The sequence below is a fragment of the Homo sapiens genome, chromosome 7 (genome assembly GCF_000001405.40).
Source record: "Homo sapiens chromosome 7, GRCh38.p14 Primary Assembly".
Lineage (NCBI taxonomy): Eukaryota > Metazoa > Chordata > Mammalia > Primates > Hominidae > Homo > Homo sapiens.
The window spans coordinates 114538639-114564044 of NC_000007.14; the positions used below are offsets into that span (position 1 = coordinate 114538639).

Here is a 25406-nt window from a genome sequence, read left to right on the forward strand (position 1 = left end):
AATAAAGATGTTGGGCTAACTGATGAACAAGATCTTAAATTCCATGGTTAAATATTTATTTTGTTTTCATTTTGAAGTAAGTGAGGTATCTTAATTTTTCAGGATTGGGTATATCTTGTTGGATATTAGCTTATGAAGTAAGGATTATGTTTTTGTTTGCTTGGTTTTTGTTACAAAACATTTGTTTATTAACATGCCCCATCCAGAAACCGTGCCTTGGAAACAAAGAATTAAAGCCCATATGTATGGAAAACCATTGCGCAAATATAATTCTGTATATCTGAGGAAGCTTTGTTTTGTTTCATGCCTTGAAATATTATAAATTGAATTTATGAGAAATGTAAGCTACATAAAAATTATTTAACCAATGTATTTACTTTAATAATCTACATTGAAATGTTTTGATATAATGCAACTTAACATTATTTTTACTTTACTATTTCATTCCAAATTGTTAAAAATAACAAAAGCTGACAAAACCAGAAATTCTATAGTAAACTAATTATCAATACTGAAATTCCATATCATATGTAAAAAATCAAGAATAAGTTATAAAAGTTTATAATTTGTAAAATATTCTGGAGGAAAATACTAACTTATATGGGATATAGAATCACTCATTACAAAATGTATTTTAGGAAATGATAACATTTTATTTATGTAGCGATAAAGAATGAAACTGAATATTTCTTTTTCAATATTACTTTTAAATATAATGTAGAAGAAGTGGAGAGAAGCTAAACCACATTTTATTCCAAATAAAAGCAGCATTGCCAGAAAAATTGAGATACGGGTTTAAATAGAGCGATCTATTATGATGCCAGAAATTTAGAAATAAGTTTTTAAAGATATTCTTTACTATTTATATTTTCTGTGTATTGAAAGATGAACAGGAGGTCTAATACATTATTTCTTGATCATAAAAAAAAAGAATTTAATTCAAATACTGTTTACAAGAACAGACTATGTCTTGTGTGGCTCTTATTTTCCCATTCCAGTGAAGAACATTTCTTAAAAGCAGCATGAAATAGGCAAATTTAAAAGAATGTTATAGAATACAATTTTTGTTAAACTATGATGATGTTTCTATCCATGACCAGCTGCTCAAGGCTGACACCCTGTGGAGGAGGGTCTGGGACATTGAGCTCATTACTACTAAGCATGCTTGTGTGGAAAACTTACCATATGATCTACTCATGGCATATAGAAGAAAGAACCATGTGTTTCAGATCTGAAGCCTGCCCTTGCCATTAATAGGGCTTTGGATAGAATAACCTGATCTCTTTGGAGCCTGTTTCCTCATCCCTAAAATAGGAATAAAGATACCCAACCTTTCAAGATTGCTGTGAAGACCAAAAATTATATTATATAAAGTACTTACCGTAAATCCTTGGATAAGGAGTTAATAAATAATTACCATTATGCTAGCCTCCAGGAAATTGGTATTTAATTCAAGGTTATGATATATATTCTATATCATAGCATTTGGCCGTAATTTGTTACTATTACCAGCTATTTCAATGATTTGAAGTATGCCCTTGTTGTAATTGTGTGTTTTAAGGAATACTAGAGTGTTTTCCCCTGCTATAGGCTCCCACCACATATACACTTCACACTCTCCAAACATAAACTTATATTTTAATGTTTATCTTCTCTATTAAACTGTAAGCGATATGACAGCAGGAATCATGAATTCCCTGCTCTTCTCTAGTGCCTAGCACAGTGCTTGGTGAATAATAGAGCTCAATAAATAAACTTGTTGAAACAATGAATAAGGAGGAGATTGTGCTGAGTGGAGCAAAGGAGATTTGGAGGAGGAAAAAAAACATCCATTCATTCAGTATAAATTGAGTGATTATTTATCATGTGTAATGTCCTCAGGGACTTATGACTTAGTTGAGGAGATATTCAGAGTTGCACACAAATAAAAACATTATTGGCCACAGTGGATGTGCTGTAGAAATGGGAAAAACAGAAAGAACAATAAGCATTTAAAAAAGAAAATTAACAATTCAGGCTACAAGTGGTCAGGGAAGACTTTGTAGAGAAGGTAGCATGTATGTTGGGCTTAAAGAAAAGGAATTTGGTAGATAAAGGAATTTTTGATGGAGAATTTTTTTAAAGATGTCATCAAAGATGTAGACATAGGAAATTCTGAGATCTGGTTGGGCAAGTGTAAGTAGTTTGTTTTGATCAGCCTAGAGATATCATACTAATGTAATAATGAATGGGTTGGGGGTTAGAAATACACATCGCTGATTGTATAGAACTTAAAATGTCAAGCCAAGAAGTCAGTATTTTATAGATTGGGTAGAAGGGGCTATTAAAGTTTTTTGATGAGGAAGTGAAATTATCAAAGCAGTGGTCTGTGAAGATAGCAATGGAACATTTGGAGGATATTTTCAGGGAAGGGAATTCTGAGAAACCTGGAATAAGGATAATCCTTTAAAAACTATTTAGGTAGGCATGATGATGACTTAAGCTTTAGACATGTTGAGTTTGAGGAGATGGCAAGACAAGAAAGTAGAAATAGCTAGCTTTTAGCAAATTTGAAAGAAAGCTTGACAGAGGGGTCAAGACTAAAGAGAAACATTTGGGGAACAACACAGAAGTGATAGATGAATCCATGGTAGTAGAGGAGATTTCTGAAAAAGGTAATTTGAAAAGAGGAGCTCAGTAACATTCACATTTTTTTAGAGCAAGAAGAAAAAGCAGAAGAGACAAGAGGGGACTAGAGCAATCAAATTAGCATTGGATTTATTAAGGAAGGTCAACAAAAGGGGGAGTTTATAAAATTTAAGGCTTTTCAGCCACATCAAGCAATGTCCACAGGAAGGAGAACATTTTTGCATAAACACTGTTTAGTTGATTGCAACACAGATACTTTTAAATCCCCCTCATTCTTCATCATTCATCAGTAACTCTTAGGATCTGCAGTAGTAATGTGATCAATAATGAATAGAGAAAAATCATACTTTAACATGGATGATAAATAGAAAATAGGGAATTAATAAATGTACTTTTGCTTCTCAGATTGCAGTGAAAGAAAATGTATGTTGCATATATAATACTGAACTTCCATAAATTAAATATGGAAGAACTTTGCTATCTAGGAGGCCAAATTTTCGCTTTTCTTAGCTACCCAAGCACTTGCTTCTTTCTGTAATCCATTAGGATTTTAAGTATATATTCCCTTGACTTCTCTACCTTAACTAAAGTGAGAGCAAGAAAGAAATAGAACATTAATATTGTTATGGGAGCTCTCTATAGGATTTAAGACTTAGGCTGTGAATTTTATCTTAAGATGTTTGGAAGTGTTATACAAGCTAAATTGAATGACAAAGTGAAGAACAGTGTCAGCACATGATTAAAGACAAAAAGTAAAATTATTTTGAAATTTACTTACATTTAAGATTATTTGTGTTTCCTCTGTGGATTCTATTTATATATTTCTATCAACCCACCTTCCACATTTCTATTGGTTTTCTTAAAATGTTTCTGCTACCTTCACCTTTTCTACTGCTTTCTTTTCTCCTTTACCATTTTATTTTCTTCTCTCATCATGTAATCTTGTCTATTTTACTTTATTGCTGTCTCTTTGGTCCCATAAGAACACAGAAACTTTAAATATCTGTAACTATCTAATTCTATCATGAACCTAAAAGATATTCTAACATATCATTTTACTAACAAAATAAAACCGTGCCCATTCTTACAATCCAGTATCTAATATTTAATTCTTGTCTTACACCAAGAATAGTTTGTGCTATTTAAGTTGGAGTTTCAATAGGAAAGCACTTCTCCACTTGAGTATCTCAGCTACTTAGAAGAACCTGGAACCCTAAGGCTTTTTCCTTTTCTTTTTAGTGCTAGAAATCTCCTGTTATGACATTTATAGTGGCTTTTTAAAAAATTGTCTTCAGAGTGGCTTCATTGTTCCTTAATCTTTTGGTCTGCTTTTTCAGAAAATCTATTACAAAATGAATATTTAAACTAGAATTGCTTGGGATAGTTGTATTAAATGGTCAGTTCTTCTAAGAACATCTAAGATTGTGCTGATTGTGATTATTTTAGTAATGCTGAATTTGGAAGCACAGCATTTGGAAAGATGAAACAAATGTGGAATAAATTTTTTTGTTTTTGTTTTTGTTTTTTGTTTTTTTTTTTTTTGAGGCAGAATCTCACTCTGTCACCCAGGTTGTAGTGCAGTGGCAAGATTTCCTCTCACTGCAACATCTGCCTCCTGGGTTCAAGAAATTCTCCTGCCTCAGCCTCCTGAGTAGCTGGGGTCACGGGCATGCACCACCATGCCCAACTAATTTTTGTATATTTAGTAGAGACGGGGTTTCACCCTGTTGGCCTCGAACTCCTGACCTTAAGTGATCCACCCACCTTGGCCTCCAAAAGCGCTGGGATTATAGCATGAGCCACCATACCCGGCCTGTTCTTTCAAAATATTTAAGTCACCCTATCTTAATATGAAAATCATATAAGCTCATTACAAGAATCTAACATGATTTTAAGTTAAATTATGTTTGGTCACTAAGTTCCTTTTCCCAAAGGCACTTGATAAATGCTAATAAATTACTATAGTATAGTGGATTTTTCAAAATGAAAATTGTATTCTCTGTTTAGATGAGGTAGAAACCACTCATAAGAACTAATTATAGTAGAATTATAGTAGACCCTCAACATTCACAATGTGTATACCCATAGATCTTCATGAATCCTCAAATTAAAAAAAATTTCCATTTCAAAAATTTGGTGAGGTTTGTGCAGACTTTCTTGTATACTGTCCTTGGTTTGAACCAAGCTACCATTGCCTTATACAAAGTCTAATACAAGTTAACAACTTTAAAAATTTCAATAAAATTTGCCCTGTGATTAATTTTAAATTTTCAAAAAAGAAACTTTTTTACATTATAGGTTCTCCTACATTAGTGAGGTAGATAACAGCAAAGCTACATTAGTGATAGAAAAATCCATATGAGTTTAGGAATTAGGTTATGTGTGTGAGAAGTCAGCAATCTGAAGACCAGATCAACTTTTTAGCTACTTGATTGTTTCATGGCTTGAAGAACTGCACAGGTGCAATGTCTAGAGACTTAGAGATCACATGTAAATAACCACACAAATCCATAACATCTGTGAATTTTAAAGCTCTATTCTACCAAATCTTGCCATCTCTCATCTATGTTCACCCAAAGTGAACAAACAAGTATCCCCTACTTTCCTTGTTATTTTATTGAAGACTTGAGAGAAGTTCCCTGTCTTAAAATTTTTATCCTCCTTAATTGTAAATCTCCACTGGCATCAATTAATTACCGGGAAATGTTCCTTCAGAGTAAAAGTTGCCTAGCATGTTTTTTTCTTTTTCTTCTTCATTTTCTTTTTCTTAATAGAGGCAAAGTCTCACTATGTTGCCCAGGCTGGGCTCTAAATCCTGGGCTCAAGTGATTCTTCTGCCTCAGCCTCCCAAGTGTCAGGGTTATAGTCATGAGCCACAGCACCCAGCCTCTAGCATGCTTTTTAAGGGAATAGGGAAAGGCCGTGTCTTGAGTGTGAAGAGACCTCTCACAAATATTGAGTAAATCAGTAGAGACTTTAATGGCCATTCATTGTTTCCTAGTTTGGTTCAGGGATTCTGAACTAAGGATTTTATGCGCCCCCACCCTGCCCCCACCCAGTTAGAGAGCCTCTGTCTAAATCCAGTTAAAGGTCTTGAATCACATCAAGCTGTGGCTAAAGTTTGTTATTTGATTGTGCCTATTTTTACAGTTTTAAATTTTATCAGTATAGACACAGAACCTTTAATACCTAATAGTTAAGCATTTTGATAACACAAAATACACAGAAAATTCCTTTGCATAGTATATAAATCCTTACACTTTTAATGCTAACACTTGCATTGCTGTAAAAGCTGCCACCTTGACATCTTCTACTGCTAGTGCTACTGCACGTTCTCAAGTGACAAACCAAGGAACACATTGAACATTATGATGTGCTGACATGAAGAAATCTGTTGTCTCACAGAAAGACTGTAGCAAATTCTTGGATAGAATATCTCTGTAAAAGCAAACAAACATAAAAGACAAAATTATTCTCTCTACATTCTACCTTCTTCCCATAGTATCCAGCATTTAAAACATATTAACTGGTGATTAAACTATGACTAAAATTATAGTTTCTCAAAATCATGGCCATCATTTGAAGTTTTCCTTCATTTCAGGAGAATTTATTTTCCGTAATCAATAACAATCACCACTGCCATACACAGTCTTAGAGGATGTTTATACAATTCATTTTCAAGTCTAAAAAATTACTTGCAAGTCTTATAAAAATGGAGATCTTGGGTCTATCCCAGACTACTGAATTAAAATTGAGGAACGAGGGATGGAATCTTTGGAAATAAAGATATTTAAAACTCTCCAGGAGATACAATACAGTTGGCTTACAATACAGCTGGCCTACAGAGTAGTATATAAGAACCCTGAACTGTTCTCTTTTGGAACAAGAAAACAGTGAACCCCAAATTCTATTAATATACTATATGATTTTCCCTCTCTGGGATTCAGTTTTCCAACCCTTGCAATGAAAAGGCTGAACTAGTGATACTTCAGGTTACTTCCAGATGCAACAGTTATTGAATCTCATCCCAGCACTAACTTTTGTTTGTTTATATATTTATTGTCTAAATCTGAACTAATTAAAAAGGATTCTGAGCAGGTTTCTTGAGATGTCTCTCTCTGATCAGCCTTTTCAGGATCATTTCCAACAATATTGTCAGAATTTTATTTTTACTATTATGATTTCTTATGTAAAATCTTCAGTAATGAACTCATTCCCTTCTTATCTTTAATTTTTTAAAATAATATCTGCATCCTAAACTCCTCAGTATATATCTGCTACGCTCAATGGGCTTCCCTTTGGTATTAGAAACCTTAAGAAAAGATGGATTGTATAGTATCAATCAATAGATTGATAGTTGTCTGCTGCAATGGCTCTGGCACTCTGATCTCATTGTCCATTACCTGGTTTTTACATGTTATATGAGCTGCAATATCAAACTACTTATAGTTACTCAAACATCGGTTCATGTCTCCATGCAGCTGGCCTTCCCTTCTTTTTTCTCAATAGGGCTTTCTTCACCTTTTCATCTAGAAATCTTTTTTGCATCTTTTAAATTTCAATTGTGTGTCAACTACTTGGTGAAGTCTCCTTTAATATCCTCCCCATCCTCACCAGCACACACACACTATGTGGAATTAATTATTCCCTTCCATATATTACTTATATGTCTTGTTAATGCATCTATTCTTATATGTATCACACCGAATCATAATTACTATAAGCTTCTTGAGGGCCAAGACTGTGCCTTATTCATCTTCACATTTCCACTATCTGGCCCATCATAGGTTTTCCATAAATTTGTTGAGTCTATAGACCAGTGTTTGTATATAACTCTATCAAGCCCCTCTTTTCTCCTAGGCTCCAGATGTGTTTTTTCACTTGCTTACTGGGGCATCTCAACCTAGATCAACATGTTACAAAGTGAAGTTATTTGTTTTTCCTTACCCAGTCCAATGTTTTCATCAGCTTTTCCTGACGCCATTGTGTAGACTCCAGCCATTAAGCCCTTCTGATCTGTTAGTGTCGTATTCCTCTGCCCTAATCATGTAAAAATTGCCCTGTTCTTCAACCCCAGCATGTCACAAAAGGCTTTTCGTAGACTGGTGCTATGCACCATCATACACCTGATACATTACAACCATGACTTAATCCTTACTGCTCTCCAAACATACTATTTATTTGTTCATTTATTCATTCCTTCATTCATTCACAAATGAATAGGTTGTTTTACATATGCCAGGCATTTTGCAGGGCATCATTAACTATGCAAACTTTGATACCAACTTGTTTTTGTTCCTGCTTCTCATCTGTTTAGAAGGTCATTCCAACACCCCTTATCTGATTGGCAAACTCCTATACATACTTTGAGGCCCCTAATCCCTGGAGTCTTCTCTGATGCATCAAAAAGAAAAAAAAAATCCCTCCTCACACAAGTGAATATCCAGAATTGCATTTTTATTTTATTATCCCAAATATACTAGTTACAAAGATAGATTATACCATATTTTATTACAGTTATCTGATTACTTCTCTAGCTCAATCGCAGACTCTAAATCTTTTCATGTCAGAGATTGCATTTTATTCATGTTTATAACTTCACTTCTTACCACAATGCTTGACACATGGTAGATGCTAAATAAAATTCTTGCCAAATTGAATTGGATTTTGTAAACTGTATTGCTCCTTCTCCGTCCTATAAGACTACAGTATCACTTCCATTCAACTGATGAAACAAGTATTAAAGTATGATAATTTATCAGGTTGTCTGTTTTTGTAGAAAAAAACTTAGAAGCAGATATGAATATCATTAGAAGACATGATTCAGGTCACATTACCCAACTCTCTCTCATATTACTACTTTGTCTGCTTCCGTTAGGCAGGCTCTTTATGAAATACTATTTCTAATGATTCCTTTTCTTGGCTAGATAGCATATAACATACTTTTTTTAGCAATAACAATTGATTCTTTTTTATCTTTATCTAAATATTTTCTTCTTTGATTATATCTTCTGTTTTATGAATTTTATACACACATTGTTTGCTTACAATAAATCCCTTACTTCCTACCTATTTTCTGAACAAAATACACTCCTCATTGCTCTATATTAATCATGTTTCTAATGCCACTACGTATCAATGATACTTTCACTAGGGAACCGGAAGTGAGATACCTGCTTGAGAAAATGGTATTAGAAATATATGTGATTGGCCCAGCGCTGTGGCTCACGCCTGTAATCACAACAGTTTGGGAGGCCGAGGCGGGCGGGTCACGAGGTCAGGAGATCAAGACCATCCTGAATAACACGGTGAAACCCCGTCTCTACTAAAAAATTACAAAAAATTATCTGGGCGTGGTGGCACGTGCCTGTAATCCCAGCAACTTGGGAGGCTGAGACAGGAGAATTTCTCAAACCCGGGAGGCGGAGGTTGCAGTGAGTTGAGATCATGCCACTGCACTCCAGCCTGGGCAACAGAGCGAGACGTCGTCTCAAAAAAAAAGAAATGTATGTGATTACAAGTAAGATGATGTGAGGGTTTCTCAAATATCAAGAAACTATACTTCCTACATGATTTATTGGTATATAATTTTTATGATTTAATTATATCTATTGCCTCAGCCACATGAATTATATATGTTTCCACTAAAATATTATCTAAATTTACTATGAAGTTTATTAGCTACTCTGTTTAGGATTATAGATTTTATCTTTGTCACGAAACATGAACTCCACAGACAAGTAGTCCAGAGCTGACTGGTACAACTGCTCAAGGATGAGACAGAGGACCAAGGTTCCTTTTAGCTAGCTTCCTGCTCTGCCCCTATGTAGCTTTTGTCTTCATGGCCACAAGATAACTCTCCTTCCTCCAAGCATTATGCCCATGTTTTAGGCAAAAAGAAGGGAATGACAAAACAGAAAGGGCAAAATAAAAATAGGTGCAGACCAGCTGCAGCTGTCCCCTTTAATAACCAGCTTTCTCAGAAGCCTCAAACAGTGACTTCTGTTTCTCTTTCACCATCCTGAACAATATCATATGAATACCCATCACTTCAGCTGAGTCTATGAAGCTGATCATGTTTAGTCAGGCACTTTGTCACATTGAACAAAGTTGGGGCTCTTTTGGTAGAGAAAAATAGAAGGATGAATTTTGGGCCAACATCTAGCAACTTCTGCAACCAATAGTTTACCAAATATATTAGTACTGACTCATGGGACCCTAGGGATATGTGAAAAGAGATGTTATGACTTGAAATACTTTAGTGAAATAAATTTTGTTTGTTTGTTTTCTAGGAAAATTTAGAAATATGCAAACCTGTGTATTAATGTGACTAAAGTTCAGTGGGTTATAGGGTTTTAAGTTTTAATATTTTTATTTATACTTAAAATGTTATTAAAGACTCAGTATATACTCAGCACTAGGTAAAGAACAATACAAAGTAAACTATGCAAAGATGATTCTTTCCCTCCAGGAAGTTACTGCTGAATGTTGGCAGTGCTGATGAGGGATTCTGATGGAACATATGTAAGCAGTGGAACAAACACTGGATAGTTTAACTAAATGAAACGTTTGCATATTTTGCAAGTAGAGAAGCAAATGTTTTTTGAAGGGTGGGGAAAAAATCATAGAAGATGAATTTTAAACAAGTTCAGAGCAGAAAAATGTTTCATTTAGCTATTACATATTAGATTCTGGTATCACTGGAACACTTCAGAAAGTCTTAACATTCCTCCCAGCTTTAGTGAAGTAAGACATGTTCCATAAATTCTCTGTATTTCCTGCAGCAATTACTATAACCACCTATACTGCAAAAATTGATACTTGTGGGGTACCTAGAAGAAGGTTCAAGGAAACCTTGCTTTCTCTTACCCCAAACTTCCATTGACACATACTGCTGTGTTCTACGATCCAGATACTTTGCCCCAGTGATCATTCATTTTGTTCCCACATAAACCCCAGAATTGATTGGTACTGTCCATATATTCCTTTTGAAGAATCTGAGAGCCAGAAAGTTTTAGTACATTTCCCAAGTACCTAGGGTCAAACTTCAGTTCTGTCCGATTACAAGGTCTCTTTTTTCCCCCACTCTTTTCAGGGTATATTTGAAATAAATGAATCATATCCTTGGGAATTCTTGGTTTGGGGGAATAGAAGGAGGACAGGAAGGGCAGAAATATTTTATTCTGTAAAGGCTGACATCTTATTCAAGGCTGCCCCATTCTGGAGGATGGAGGAAGAATGTGAGGTCTCTATGCTATATGTGACTCTGCCCAGCCAAACCAGGATTATTCTTGGACATGTTTGTCATCACTTCATCCAGGGCACCATGAGAATAAGAATTAGTCATTGGTTTGGCCCTGAGATGCTGTAAATGCATAATGATTTTTAATAATCAGACCTCTCATAATAGGTCTTGCATGCTTTCCAGTAATTATCCAGGATGAAATTAAAATGAACTTAGTCCATCTTTTTTAAACTTGTGGTTTGTGGAATTTGTGCCATTGGATTTTGTCTTTCAAATTAAAAAAAAATAGTATAATAAACCTTTCTTTAAAGAAATACATTATAAATGTGGAAAACAAATAAAATAGGCCAATAACGACATCATTTTTATTCTCTGTAGCAAAACTGTTATGAAAGGTTTGTCTACCTGTTTTTATCAGTTTTTCTTTTATGTGGTTTCTTCTAACTTTAATTTTAATATTTATTTGCAGTAAGGCATTTTGTGTCTCATAGGCCAGTAAGTTAAACTCTTAATACCAAGGCAGGTATATGGTAGACTGGGTGCAAGGTAATGAGGAGAGGGAAATATGTTGTACATTGAGAGCTCATCTTCCTTTCTTTTCTTTTTTTTTTTTTTTTTTTTTTTGAGATGGAGTCTCGCTCTGTCGCCCAGGCTGGAGTGCAGTGGTGCGATCTCGGCTCACTGCAAGCTCCGCCTCCTGGGTTGACGCCATTCTCCTGCCTCAGCCTCCTGAGTAGCTGGGACTACAGGCGCCCTCCACCACGCCCGGCTAATTTTTGTATTTTTAGTAGAGACGGGGTTTCACCGTGTTAGCCAGGATGGTCTCGATCCCTTGACCTCGTGATCCACCTGCCTCGGCCTCCCAAAGTGCTGGGATTACAGGCGTGAGCCACCGCACCCGGCCTCATCTTTCTTTTGAAGAAGGTATTTCTTTCTTCCAACCTCCCTCTCTCCCACCTTTTCTCTCTCTCTTTCTTTCTTTCATTGCACAAGTCAAAAACAAACAAAAAATCAGCCCACTGTTTAATCTGGTCTTCAAGCTCCATATTGCAACCCCTTTGTTAAATGCTAGAACATTGAAGTTATTCAATGAAGTACAGAAATACATATACATATGCATGAGACTCTGATACACTCTAGTGATTTCTGGTTCCTTGAGGGCATCAGAACTTGTTGGAAGCAATGTGCATTATGGTAAAGTTCTTGATGGAGCACTGATAAATGGGTTACTCAGTGCTAAGATGTATGTTACCATCACTAAATAGTCAAAATAGCCTTAATTTACAGTATCATGCTAATGCAAATTACTTTAAAAGAAACATCTGTTCTAAGAATAATTGATAGTAAGCAATATTTTTTGAGAACCAAATAAGAAATAATTATGTTAGTGTTTGATATGGTTATGTTATTTGGCGTTTCCATACAATAATTTCCAATACTGCTAGACTAAAGCAGAAGTGGCTAATAAATCTTTTTTTCTACCTTTTTGCTTGATATTCCATACAAGTAGATATTTATGTACTAGAAAGAGAGTTCAGGAGAATTGTAGAAATAAATTGAAAAGCTAATCCACAGAATTTCATGTGAAACAAATGATTATCATGCTCCAGAGGAAAAACCACAAACTACACACAAAACAGCAGCATGATTTGCAAAACTGTTTTACAGTATTTCCATGTATTAGAATTTATATTCTCAATCAATCCATCAAAGAAACATGACTAAATGCCCTCGGTATGTTAGACACTTTGCCAGGCAGACACCAGGTACCATAGGGGATTCAAAGATGTTCCTATCCTCAGGGAGTTGACAATCTGGCTAGATAAAAATTCAGAATAATAACCATTCTTCTAAGCCATTTTAAACAAAACTCGTGGTTTGAGGTTAAAAAAAAACTGCTTGACAGTTATGGCTTTTTAGAGTGTTCTATGGAATAAATTGGGTTTCTCTTTTTTGTGTTTAGTGAATTACCCATCACTTACAGATGAGCAGAATAAGCTAGTCTTCATTTTTCTGCCTCCAGAGGCTTTGTTTGTGGTTCTTTAAAACTTATTTAGGTCTGAGTTCCAGAATTTAAAAGGGATATTTAAGTATGAAAACAAGTCTGAGGTAAGTAATATGATTAGAGGTGATTAAAAGGAAAATGGGAGAGTATCACAAAAGGGTTACCAGATATTTTTTAAAAAAAGAGAGAGAAAAATGTAGAAAAGTATTTTAATAATTTTTTTACATTAAAAAGATTATCATGCTAAGAGTGGCAGGTATTTATTTTTCTTCATTACTGAGACTAACACTAGAGTAATAGGTGCTGTTTTAACATGAGAAAAATCAGAATACTTGTAAGGTGGACCCTCATACTAGCAAAGGTATCTAAGAGTACGTTTTATGACAAATATTTATAACTACTGTTCTTTGTTCTATTTGAAAATAGCCTTATTTCTAGTGATTAACAAAACAATATGTGCTTTCAAAAATAATCCAGGCAATACAGAAAACTATGAAGAATTGAAATTCACTTGAACTTCAACCTCCCACTGATACTGTTAACACATATTTTACATTGATGTTATCAGAATTTGTGCGTACATTCATGAGGGATCATCAAGCCAGGCTAGAAATGTATGTAGTTTCATATTTTGTAGCTATTTTTAAATGTGAGATTGATGTTTAGGGTATAGCTTACTTTAGGACCATGGAAAAGCAAGAACATCTTTTAAATGACCTGCTGGTATTCCCTTCATGCTTTATAATAAAGGTAAGAGATAAGCCTCTGTGCTATTTGGGAGAGGCACTGGGTTCAAGGTTTGACTCCACCATTTACTGACTGTATGACCTTCAGGAGGGCAATTCGGTTCTATCGCCTCATTGCCTTTTTCTGTCAACTGGGAAGACGTGACTCAAGCTCTAAAATTTTGTTATCTCAATGCTTTATTATAGTAAAAGAGTATACCTTCTCAGTAACATATATTTACAAAAAATTATCCTTTTTTATGTGTTATATGCCAAAAGTTTTAACTTTGATAATGAGTTAGTTTTCCCCTTATCAGCAAAAACAAGAAGAAGCAAGATTATTTTAAAAGTTGGAAGTTTATTACTCATTTATTCAGGTTAAAATATTCTGATACTCGAAGAAAAAGTGAAATTTGTTGTTGGATATAATACAATGTCCATATTCATTACATACGTTATTCCATTATGTTCCACATACCCCTATGACATGCCAGCTTATCTGTTTAGAGTACTTTTCTGTGTGTTCAATTATATATGTAAGGTTTTTAATGAAGAAAAATAAAATAAGGAATATTTAGAAATATAATTATATAGAGGTCAGGACTGTGAAAATTGCTTTTCTCACAATCACTATAACTTAGCTTTATCGCCTAAATTATATAGTAATAAAAATTGTTTTTATACTCCTAGAGTAACCAGTCTGTTCTTGGTAAGAGATTGCAATACATTTATCTAAATAGAAAATAGTTCTCTCTCCCAGTCACTTTTGAAACAGTATTTCCCTAGTATGTTTGAAGCCATGTGTGGAAGCATTTTAGATACTGTGAAATTAAAAAAAAACTGACAAAGTATTTTAGGAAAAACCCTTGATCCTATTTATTTATTGTAATAGCTGCTCTTCATTCAAACAAACATCAGTGAGTTATGGAAACGAATATAGAGCTGGAGTTAGGATACCCAAGTCTTAACCTGTTACAAAATGCGAGCACTTGGCAAGTTCTTTAACTCTCCTGAGCCTCAGTTTTCTCTTACGTGATGAGGATTGCTGCATAATATACATGAAAATGTCTTAGAAATGTAAACTTCAATTATTTTGTTTAGTATTTTATTTTTCACATACTATCTGAGCTCTTGTAAAAATAAAATTCTGAATGAAATACTGAACTAAGAATTCAGCCATTTAATGTTTACCTCTTCAGACTTCAACATCACTTAAACACATTGACTTCCTTTGTTGCTCCAGTTCATTAATGTACATGCTCTCATTAATTTTTCAAGAAATAAATAACATCTTTAGAAATCTATAACTTCATTTTCTTTTCACAATAGAAGATTAAAGAGAGACAGTTTTGTTGACAGATTACATCTTATATTCCACCAGCTAGAATCTAGCTGAATAATTTAAGTATATGAACTAGAAGAATATGTAACAATAATAAACTGACTTCCTTTTGATAGCTCTGAGTATGTGTTTGAATACACATAAAAACAAGCTGGATCCTTTAAAAGATGAAAGTAAAGTTCTGTTTATTAAATTTTGAAATATTTGCTAAACATAAATGGAATCCAGTTTTGAAAAAGGAAATATCAAAAAGATACCACAATGATCTATGCTGCAAACACACTTTCAGATAATCTATAGAATTTTGCTCTGTTCTTCATTAATGGATTTGCTATTGATCATCTGATTGCATTCCTTATTGATGTTTTCTAGGTATATTTTTATTGTGCTTTTAAATCTTTTTCATATAAACAAAATACATATTACTTAAAAACCTCTAGAAATAAAAATCTCTATTATTATGTCAATAACAGAGGATACCAAAAATGTAAGGGATAGCATTATTTGGTATTATGCTTATTCCTCTTTAATATTAACCAAATTTTAAATATGGCTTCTAAAAATTTTTACCATTTTTAGGGTCAGGAAACATTTAAAAAATAAAATATCTTCAAAACATTAGATGTATGGATTACTGTTTGGAACATCCAAATGCCCTTTCAGATTAGTGTGATATGATTTGTCTTGCAGCTGCTTCAAATTAAGAACAGGTGTAGAAAACAGATTATGCAAATACTCATATTAATGTAATTGTCAAATTGGTGTGTTTACCATTGTGCTTTTAAAGAGTAGACTGTACTTCTATTTTAAATGTAAATTAGCTTTATTCTTCAGAGCAGCTATTGGCTAATGAAACTTGGTTCTGCCTTAGAAATGAGTAATTTCTAATAGTAACACAGTTCTAAAATTTGACATTTTCTTTCCCAGTAAACTTATTTATATGTAAAAATGACAATTCTGTATTATTTTTAGTATGTGTATAATCATTATGATTTTTTGAAAATTTAAGTTGATTCTGGACTACTATTTTCTTTTATTGTGGTAGGTAGTGATTACAATGATAGCTTTTGATCTCCTAACATATTTTCTAATTTAGAACTCATATTAGCTTTTCATCTTTATAGATCTAAACTGTCAATAAATTAAGTTCTTTCCAGAAATTGCATTACATTTATTTTAATACTAATTTTTTTTCATAGCATCTAGTTACTTTCAATAGTATTTTAATGTTAAAAATGCTTAAATTCTAATTTTGGTGTTTTGCGTTTTACTACTAGTTCATCCACGTATCTGTATGATGATTTTGTGATTGCCTAATGTCAGGATTCAGACACGTGTATCTAAAAAAGGGCTTCCTCTTAGTCCCTGGCTAGTCTTCTAGGCTCTTTAATGACAAGTAGTATGAGTCATCATATCTACATGCGTGACTAGGGCCAGCGAAAAAGAAGACCAAGGAATCAACCAGAGAGGTTTCACAAGTCAGATGTTCCCATTACTTTTTTAATACTTTTTTCTCTAATAAAACAGAGATCCTGAAGCATTTATAATTTTAATTTGCTTTGGTAGCATATATTTAGTGCTTACTTTGTGTACCTGGTAATGTATTTATTTATGCTCTTTCATTTCACAGAATAGGCACCTGAGGCTTAGAAAGGTTAAATTACATTATCTACAGTCAAGTAGCTGGTAGTTTGAGCTGGAAGTGAATTCAAGTCAGTCTGATTCGAAACCATGTGCCTTTTACTCCTTTGTTACAGATAATATAGTGCCTCTTAGTTGCTGTTCAGGTTTTTCATTTTCATTTTTAGAAAATGAGATCAAAGTAATGACAAGGGGATGACAAGGTATTACATGTGAATATTATCTTTTCTTGAATGTCTTCATTTTATGAAACCCAGGTATATTGTTTTGTGGTTAAGATAGAGCAAAGGGGCTGGGCACAGTGGCTCATGCCTGTAATCTCAGCACTTTGGGAGACTGAGGCGGGCAGATCACCTGAGGTCAGGAGTTCGAGACCAGCCTGACCAACATGGTGAAACCCCGTCTCTACTAAAAATACAAAAATTAGCCAGGTGTGGTGTTACATGCCTGTCATCCCAGCTACACGGGAGGCTGAGGCAGGAGAGTCACTTGAACCCAGGAGGTGGAGGTTACAGTGAGCCAAGAATACACCACTGCACTCCAGCCTGGGCAACAGAGCAAGACTGTCTCAAAAACAAACAAACAAAAAAACAAACAAAAAGATAGAGAAAAGGAAGGGATGAAAGTTACATGGCTCCACCATGGAGGGGATCTCCATCATCACTACGAATAGAAGATTCTACAGGAATGACTCTGAATCTCTTTATTCCCTTGTCTTCTATACCTCCCTCATCTCTACCTGTCAGGAACCACTGCTGACATGGCAGTGGACTTGGTAATGAAATTAGATGTTTACTCAGCAATATATGAGATAACTTTTAATATGAAAGAAAAAGCAAATGGCAGTGATGGACTACTACTACTGGAGTTTTCTTGGCATCATGAGAATTTTCATGTCAAATGGTAAGAAGTTTTTTGCTGGAGTTTTAGTTTTTAAATCACTAGTCCTCTTCCTCCAGGTTTCTTCCCCCTACATCACATCAAAATGAGGAGGGGTAAGAGGCTTATAGGGACCAAATCATAATCAGAGATGCCAACAAGATAAGCTTCTGTATATGCTACATGCAGTCTCTATTCCTCATTTATCCTTATTGGCAAGAAAAGGAGCTGCCACTGAGACCAACACCAGATAAGCAGAAGCTGATCCAAGGGCTGCTGCTGCTTCCCCTGCAGGGATCAGAAAAGGAACTACCACATCCTCCAGTCCCTGCATACATTCCTAGGGGTGATCATAATCTGAATTGCTCCCCCCTAAGGAGTAAAGCATACAGTAAAAGAGATGCTGGTACTTTGTGAATTTGGAAAAAAATTATAATATGATAGTGTTTTTCTTTACATATAATAGATATTGCAGTGAATCTTCATGCTTCATTCATTGAATCAAGTTCTAATCCAAAAATACATTCCAATGGAAAAGACCACCAAAAAGTAATTAAAGGGTTTGCCTCATCCACAAACTCTGAGGACATCCATGGTCAGTTCTTCTATGAAAGCATAATACCCTATATAAGCACAGCATTTATTGATGCTGATAAGCTTTCTGATTAAGTTCACAACAAATGCACTTCAGAATTATTTTGAATAGTTTTTTCTAGTTTATTGCTTAAAAGTATATCTCTATAAGAATATCAGATACAGTGAGATTTCTATTAAGAAAAAATTAGTAACTTTAAAGATCTTTTGTATTGTTTTTTGAAAAAACTGTAAAACAAGCTAAATGCTATATAATACATCTACTCTGTTACTATGCTGTTTTATTCTGCCTACTATATTATTTTCCTTTTTTTAGTAATTTTATTTTTCATTTCTTGAAATTAATATGTAAAATACAGTTTTTACATTAAGCAAGAAAGACTTTTGCTTGAAAATTAATAAATCTCTACATTAAATTCTTGGGCTCAAACCCTGTTTTCATACATTGTTGGACAATGAGTCAAGGTGGAAAATCTAAGGTTGTTCTGTGCTCAGTGTCTTGATTTGAAATATTCAGAATATAGACTTACTCAGAGATTGGAAGCTGGTTTAATATGTTGTGCCAGCCATCCTGAAAGCCATTTCAGTAGATTCTGTACCCTGGCATTTGTTTTAGAAATAATTGCATGCAAATGTAGTTTTACATCTGTACTATGTCTCTTAATCCTAACCAGGCATTTTCCATTAGATGTAGTCTGAAAATCGCATTAAGACAAATATATATCATCTGTGAAATTATGCTCTGAATGCTCTAAATAGGAAAGAAAGGGGCAATATTCATGTTAAATATAATAAGAAGTATTTTTTTCTGACTCCCAAATTTTAAAATGTCGATTTCACTTCCTAATTAGTGCTGCATTATAAAATTGAGTTAAGATTGTTTTCAAAATTTTCTTATTCAGTTTATCACAAAACTTTCCTACAAATGAAAATGTACTACCATGTCAAATTATTTTCTTACTTTATGCTTGGTACTACAAAATTTATTTTTGTATCTCTAATGGCAATGCAATTCAGATAAGTTATATTGTAGTACTCTTCTGTTCTCAAAAGCAGAATTTTGCAACAAGAATTTTGACACTGAACTGACTTTATTTATTTATTTATTTATTTATTTATTTATTTATTTAGAGATGGAGTCCTGCTCTGTCGCCCAGGCTGGTGTGCAGTGGCCCGATCTCAGCTCACTGTAACCTCTGCCTCCCGGGTTCAAGCAGTTCTCTGTGTCAGCCTCCCAAGTAGCTGGGATTACAGGTGCCCACCACCACACCTGGCTAATTTTTGTATTTTTAGTAGAGATGGGGTTTCACCATCTTGGCCAGGCTGGTCTTGAACTCCTGACCTCGTGATCCACCCACCTTGGCCTCCCAAAGTGCTGGGATTACAGGCGTGAGGCACTGCACCCAGCCCTGACTTTTAATATACTAGAGATTACTAGTGTATTTGAGGAATCTAAGAAAGAATATTAAGTAATAAAACACGTATGAAGTCATGGGGTATCAACTGGAAGAAAGAGGAGGTAGAGTTTATAGAAACAAAAAGTTATTGCTTGCCATCAAGAAATTACCATTAAATCTTTATTTAAAACAGTATCTTGTCTCATTCTGCATTCTTCATAGTTACTTCTTGAGGATAACACTAATAGGACTCCAGATATGTCAGAAATCTTTTTATGTATTTGAACTTTCATTTATCCTCCAAGAGAAAAGACAGGTGGTGTACACAAAAATGAGAAATCTGAAGTTCACAAAAGCCACTTTGCTTTATATGGGGCTCTTGAAGAGCTGGTTTTTGCTTCTCTTTCTGTCCCCAACCCTACCCTACCACCCTTCTTCCCTAAAATTAATTTGTTTGACTTTATGGGACTGTCTCTGCTTCTCAGAATACATCAGGGGGTCAGACACCTTCAAGCCTTTATGATGTCTACTTCTTTAGTCTTAAATGTTCTTCATCTTTACCCCACCCCGTCTCCATTTGTATACTAATGTCCATTTATTCTTACCTAGAGTCCTTTATTATCTCATCTGCCCTGTAAGAACCCTTTCTCTATGCTTCCTTTTCACCAGTGCATACGTCTGTCATAGTATAATACTTAATATGAAACTCATCACTAATAGTTTGCCTTCCTGATTCGTCTGTGCATTCTTGAGGTTAGTGGCTCCTACTTGACTTTGCAGCTGATTCTTAACCTAGTGGTTGGTGTTCTGTAGTGTCCCACAGAACTGAGATGGCAATGTATACATTAAATCTGTTTGTTTTGTCTATTAAATAATTATTATATATGTTAAATTTTTTTCTTTCACTCTCCAAATGTTCATAAGAAATCCAGCTACCTATTTTTTTTCAAAAACGCTTAAACTCTTGAATAAAGCAAACATGCATACAAGTAAACAAAAATGCAGTAGTCCATAAGTACTCTGCAGGGATATCTCATGTCAGAAGCACCTGTTGACTGCTGCCCTCATGCTCTCTCAAAATATAATAACTATATCACTTACAGGAGCACTATGCACATCTTTTGTTTTTCAGTGATTTTAGACACATGAAAGATACTTGATTAGCATTCCTGCAAATTCAAGTTGTATATGTACACAGTGAACAGGTGTAGATCTTAGCCTGCTCACAGACAACAGCCATGTCATCTGCCCTTTCCTTGATTTCAGCCTTACCTATCTGTGGAGACAGCCTGGATTCTGGATAAGAGGTGTCCATATCCTCTTTCTGTTATTGGCTTCTCTACTGCGATTTCTAACAAGGGTGCCAATTAGTGCCAGCTATGATAGCAGCTTTTTGAAGTGAAAAAGAAGGGGATTGACTAAAAACAGGGTGAAAAATCTGAACTTGACACTGTTATATTCTGTAACTCTTGTTAATTCCTTTTTAATCTTAAACTATCTTATTTTGGCTGGGCGCGGTGGCTCACGCCTGTAATCCCAGCACTTTGGGAGGCCAAGGCGGGCAGATCACGAGGTCAGGAGATCGAGACCATACTGGCTAACACGGTGAAACCCCGTCTCTACTAAAAAAAACACCACAAAAAAATTAGCCAGGCGTGGTGGCCGGCGCCTGTAGTCCCAGCTACTCAGGAGGCTGAGTCAGGAGAATGGCGTGAACCTGGCAGGCAGAGCTTGCAGTGAGCCAATATCGTGCCACTGCACTCCAGCCTGGGCGACAGAGCAAGATTCCATCTTAAAAAAAAAAAAAAATCTCATTTTAAAATTAATTTAAAATCTTACTTTAGGAACGTCAATGGATTTAATAGGTTAATATGAAGTACTTTAAAATCTCAAATCCTTCAAATACCTATGGTATCTGCATTGGGACAGTGGCTGCCACTAAACTTTCTTTGTTAAGCTAGCCTTTCTTTTAATAAAAAGAAAAGTGTTATTTTAAATTTAGAATCCATTAAAGAAGAAAAGTGGAATGAGTATATAGTGTTAAATTATGATAAAAATAAAATATGCAAACACCCATTAATAAACTGTGCTGTGTTGCTATCTTGTATTTAACCCCAAGTTTTATTTTGCCGTTTTTACATATTAAGTTGTGCTTTGTACAATGTAAAGTCTGATTATACAAGCTGATATTTTAGGGATGGAAGAATATATTTATAAAAGTGAAATTATGGCCAGGTGCAGTGTCTCACACCTGTAATCCCAGCACTTTGGGATGCAGAGGCGGGTGGATCCCCTGAGGCCAGGAGTTTGAGACCAGCCTGGCCAACATAGGGAAACCTAAAAATGTTAAAAATACTAAAAATACTAAAAAATTAGCCAGGCATGGTGGCACACACCTATAATCTCAACTACTTGGGAGGCAGAGGCACAAGAATTGCTTGAGCTCAGGAGGCAGCAGTTGCAGTGAGTTGAGATTGTGCCACTGCACACCAGCCTGGGTGACAGAGCAAGACCCTGTTCCCCCGCCTCCGCCAAAAAAAAGAACTGAAATTATAATAGCAATTTTTAATTACTTCACTTAAGTTTGCAAACAATGAAAAATGAGGGCAAGATCATGACTTTTAGTCTTATCTTTGGTCTGTTCCATATAAATGGATTGTAACCCAAAATTCGTCCAAAAAGCTATTAACATTTAATCCTAATTTTGACAGTATGATTATTGACTGAAATATGTATATTAAATTTATCTTGTTAATTTTAACTTTGATTTCAAGTCACAGAGATCTTTAAAAAATAATAGTAGACTTTATTCAAAGGATATAGAGTTGCTTACAAAATACAAGGCAAAGCTAAGCAAAAATCTGGTCTCAGAAGGAGCAAAAAGCAGAGCAGAATCTAATAGGCTGCTTGCATACCTGTCACTGGATTCGATGAAATCCTGTTGTTTATTATGCACATGTCACATACCTCAAAAATCAAGTTCTTGGGAGAGGGAATTTAATTGGCCTAACTTGTATCACCCGCCCTTGGGCCGGTCCCACCAATTTGCATGTAATTGGGTACAGAATTAAGGTAGTCCCCAAAGAAAAAAATGGTGCTATTAACAAATAGAGAAGTATATGCTGGGTAGGCAATATCAACAGATTTCGTCTATGTTAACTTTGAGTTGGTTTGCTACTAGACTGCAGCCTTGTTTTAATATCAATTTTTTTTTCTCGAAGAATTTTACTCTTTCAACACCAAGGAAACTCAAGACAATAGAAAACTACTGGACAATAGCACCAAGTAATGTATTTGTGTGTGAAGACTCACTAATTTATGCAATTATACCTCAATCTATGCAGTATCTTCCTAAAGATTATTAAAAAATCAAATGTATTTTAAAGAAGTTTGCCTTTTATTTAAATAAATACTGTCTAAACTACTCTTTTAATTTGAATAATTTCTTCTCTTAAGGAAATAGTAATCTCTTATTTAATTTTGTAAATTTGGATCTTCATGTTGAGTTTGTTAGCAATGAATGGCACCTGTCACGCGTGTACTTAACAGGTAAAAGAAAATATACTGCTTTTAAAACTTTACACTAATCCATGAAGAAAACAAACATAAAAATTATAAACATTCATGAATCGATTCCTTTAAAAATGTTCTCCATGACCTTGGACCTATCTTTTTTGTTGTTTTTGGTGTTGGGTTTTGTTTGTTTGTTTTTTGAGACATGGTCTTTCTCTATAGCCCATGCTGGAGTGCAGTAGCATGATCATAGTTTACAACAGCTTCTAACTCCTGGGCTCAAGTCATTCTCCTACCTCAGCTTCCCAGAGTGCTGGGATTACAGACATGGGCCACCATGTCTAACTTGGACCGGTTCTTTAAAATCACTTTGAATTGGTGGACCTAAGGAATTCCCATTCTGCGCACTATGTTCTCTTGCACCATACTCTCTTGTTATTCCCACATATAGCCCACCACCACCTCCACCCACCTGGACTTCTTCCTGATCATGTTGTATCCCATGATTAAGGATGACCTTAAACACTTTCACTATTCTGAATCATCCTTTCTGACCCTGCTGCAGCATTTGTTCTTCCATTTCCCAAGCTGTGGCTTTTCTTATTCCTACTCCTAAGCAAGCTACTGAGTATTCCTATAGAGAATCACAATATCAGGCAGTATTGGTTCTCTGACTTTAGGCTAGTGTTCACTGATGTTTAGCAATTGTTTCACAAGTCTCTAGACACCTTACTCTGCCTCTCTCCCTGCATCAGTTTCTAGCCTTCACTGTACCCTTAAAGCACTTAAGTCACACCTGTTTCCCTGTTGTCAGTGACTTCACCTTCTACTTCAGAGAAAAAATTTAGAGGCCACCAGGCAAGAACTCCCTCTGCCTCTCTCATCTCTACTCCCAAAACAAACTTATATTAGCATCTCTGATTATATCCCTTTGTATCATAATGAGATTTCTCTCCAAGGCCAATTTCTCTTCCTGTGCATGATACCTACCCCTTTCCACCTCTTCCAGAACCTTGTCTTGTCAGCTGCACGTCTTCATTCCTATGTCTTCAGTCTCCCATTTCTCTGTGTGCCTTCCCTTCCCACCTTTAAAAACAAAAACCAATTAAACAAAATCACATTCATATGTCCATATTAGTTTTATATCAGACAATTATCTTAACCCTGTTTTTTTTTTCTTCATCATTAGGCCATTAGAAAGAATTGTTTACACTTATCTTCCATTCCTTTTTTGACACATTATACCTTGTTTTCTTTCCTTACTACCTGTATTACTCTGTCCTCACGCTGCTAGTAAAGACATACCTGAGACTGGGTAACTTACAAAGCAAAAGAGATTTAATGGACTCACAGTTCCACATGGCTGGGGAGGCCTCACAATCATGGTGGAAGGAAGAGGAGGAGTAAAGGCACATCTTACATAGCAGCAGGGAAGAGAGCATGTGCAGGGACACTCCCTTTTATAAAACCATCAGATCTCTTGAGACTTATTCACTGTCATGAGAACAGTATGGGAAATACCTGCCCCCATGATTCAGTTACCTCCCACCAGGTCCCTCCCATGACACATGGGGATTAAGGGAACTACAATTCAAGATGAGATTTGGGTAGGGACATAGCCAAACCACATCACTACCTTTCTGAAATAGTTCTATTGAATATGACTGACCACTTCAGAGAGTTGAATTCAATTCTTACCTTAGTAGATCCTGTCAAAACATTTGAGACTTTTGATACAACTTCTCTTAACATTCCTCTTCTTTGTGTTTTGTTGTCTTTTCCCCATCTCCTGCCTACAACTTTTTTTGTTAACTTTTATATCAGTGGTCCAAAAACTCTGGCTGCATATTGTCATTACTTGGGATGTTTATTTGTTAAAATGCCTGGTCTCCACCAAGCCCAGTTAAATCAGGAAGTTGAATGCCACCATCATTATATATACAGAGCTCTGCGTGTGATGCTGACCCACAAGGTGGGCTGAGAACTACTCCTTTAGATGACCTCACTGCCAGAACTTATCCACTCCCTGTGGTATTACCACTACATAAGTTGCTGATTCTCAGGGCTTTATATTTCTTGTCTTGTCACCTGAACTTAAGTCTTGTATAGCCAGAAGTCTTCCAGAAACACCTACCTAGATGTTCAGTAGTCAACTTCTCATTTACTATTTCCAAATGAACCAAATTCTCTTTCATTCTTGAAAAATCGTCTTTGTTTCTACTGTCTTTCTAGTGGCATCACAGTCTGCTTCCAACGTCCCTTATCCTTTACTCTCTCACTCAGGTAATCGTCAAATCCTTAGAAGTTAGCTGGTCCTCAAATTGGGTATCCTTTTTTCATGTAACTGCTACTGCTTTGGCACTTACCAGAAGTAACTGTCTAATGAATCTTTGGGAATCTTAGGCTGCCAGCCAATTCCAGTCTGAACCCACACCCT

General features: G+C 35.3%; 1 protein-coding gene across 8 annotated transcripts in view, besides 1 other annotated feature; it reads left to right on the plus strand.

The window, feature by feature from the left end:
• The window catches only part of FOXP2 (forkhead box P2), a 607439-nt gene that overhangs the window by 452312 nt on the left and 129721 nt on the right, over positions 1-25406 (plus strand). The window lies entirely within an intron of this gene.
• Positions 916-1210: a silencer, noted in NCBI's record as "tiled region #15446; HepG2 Repressive non-DNase unmatched - State 13:Ctcf". NCBI's record gives its function as "represses a minimal TATA promoter and a strong SV40 promoter by Sharpr-MPRA in HepG2 cells {active_cell/tissue: HepG2}" and the evidence as "EXISTENCE:reporter gene assay evidence [ECO:0000049][PMID:27701403]".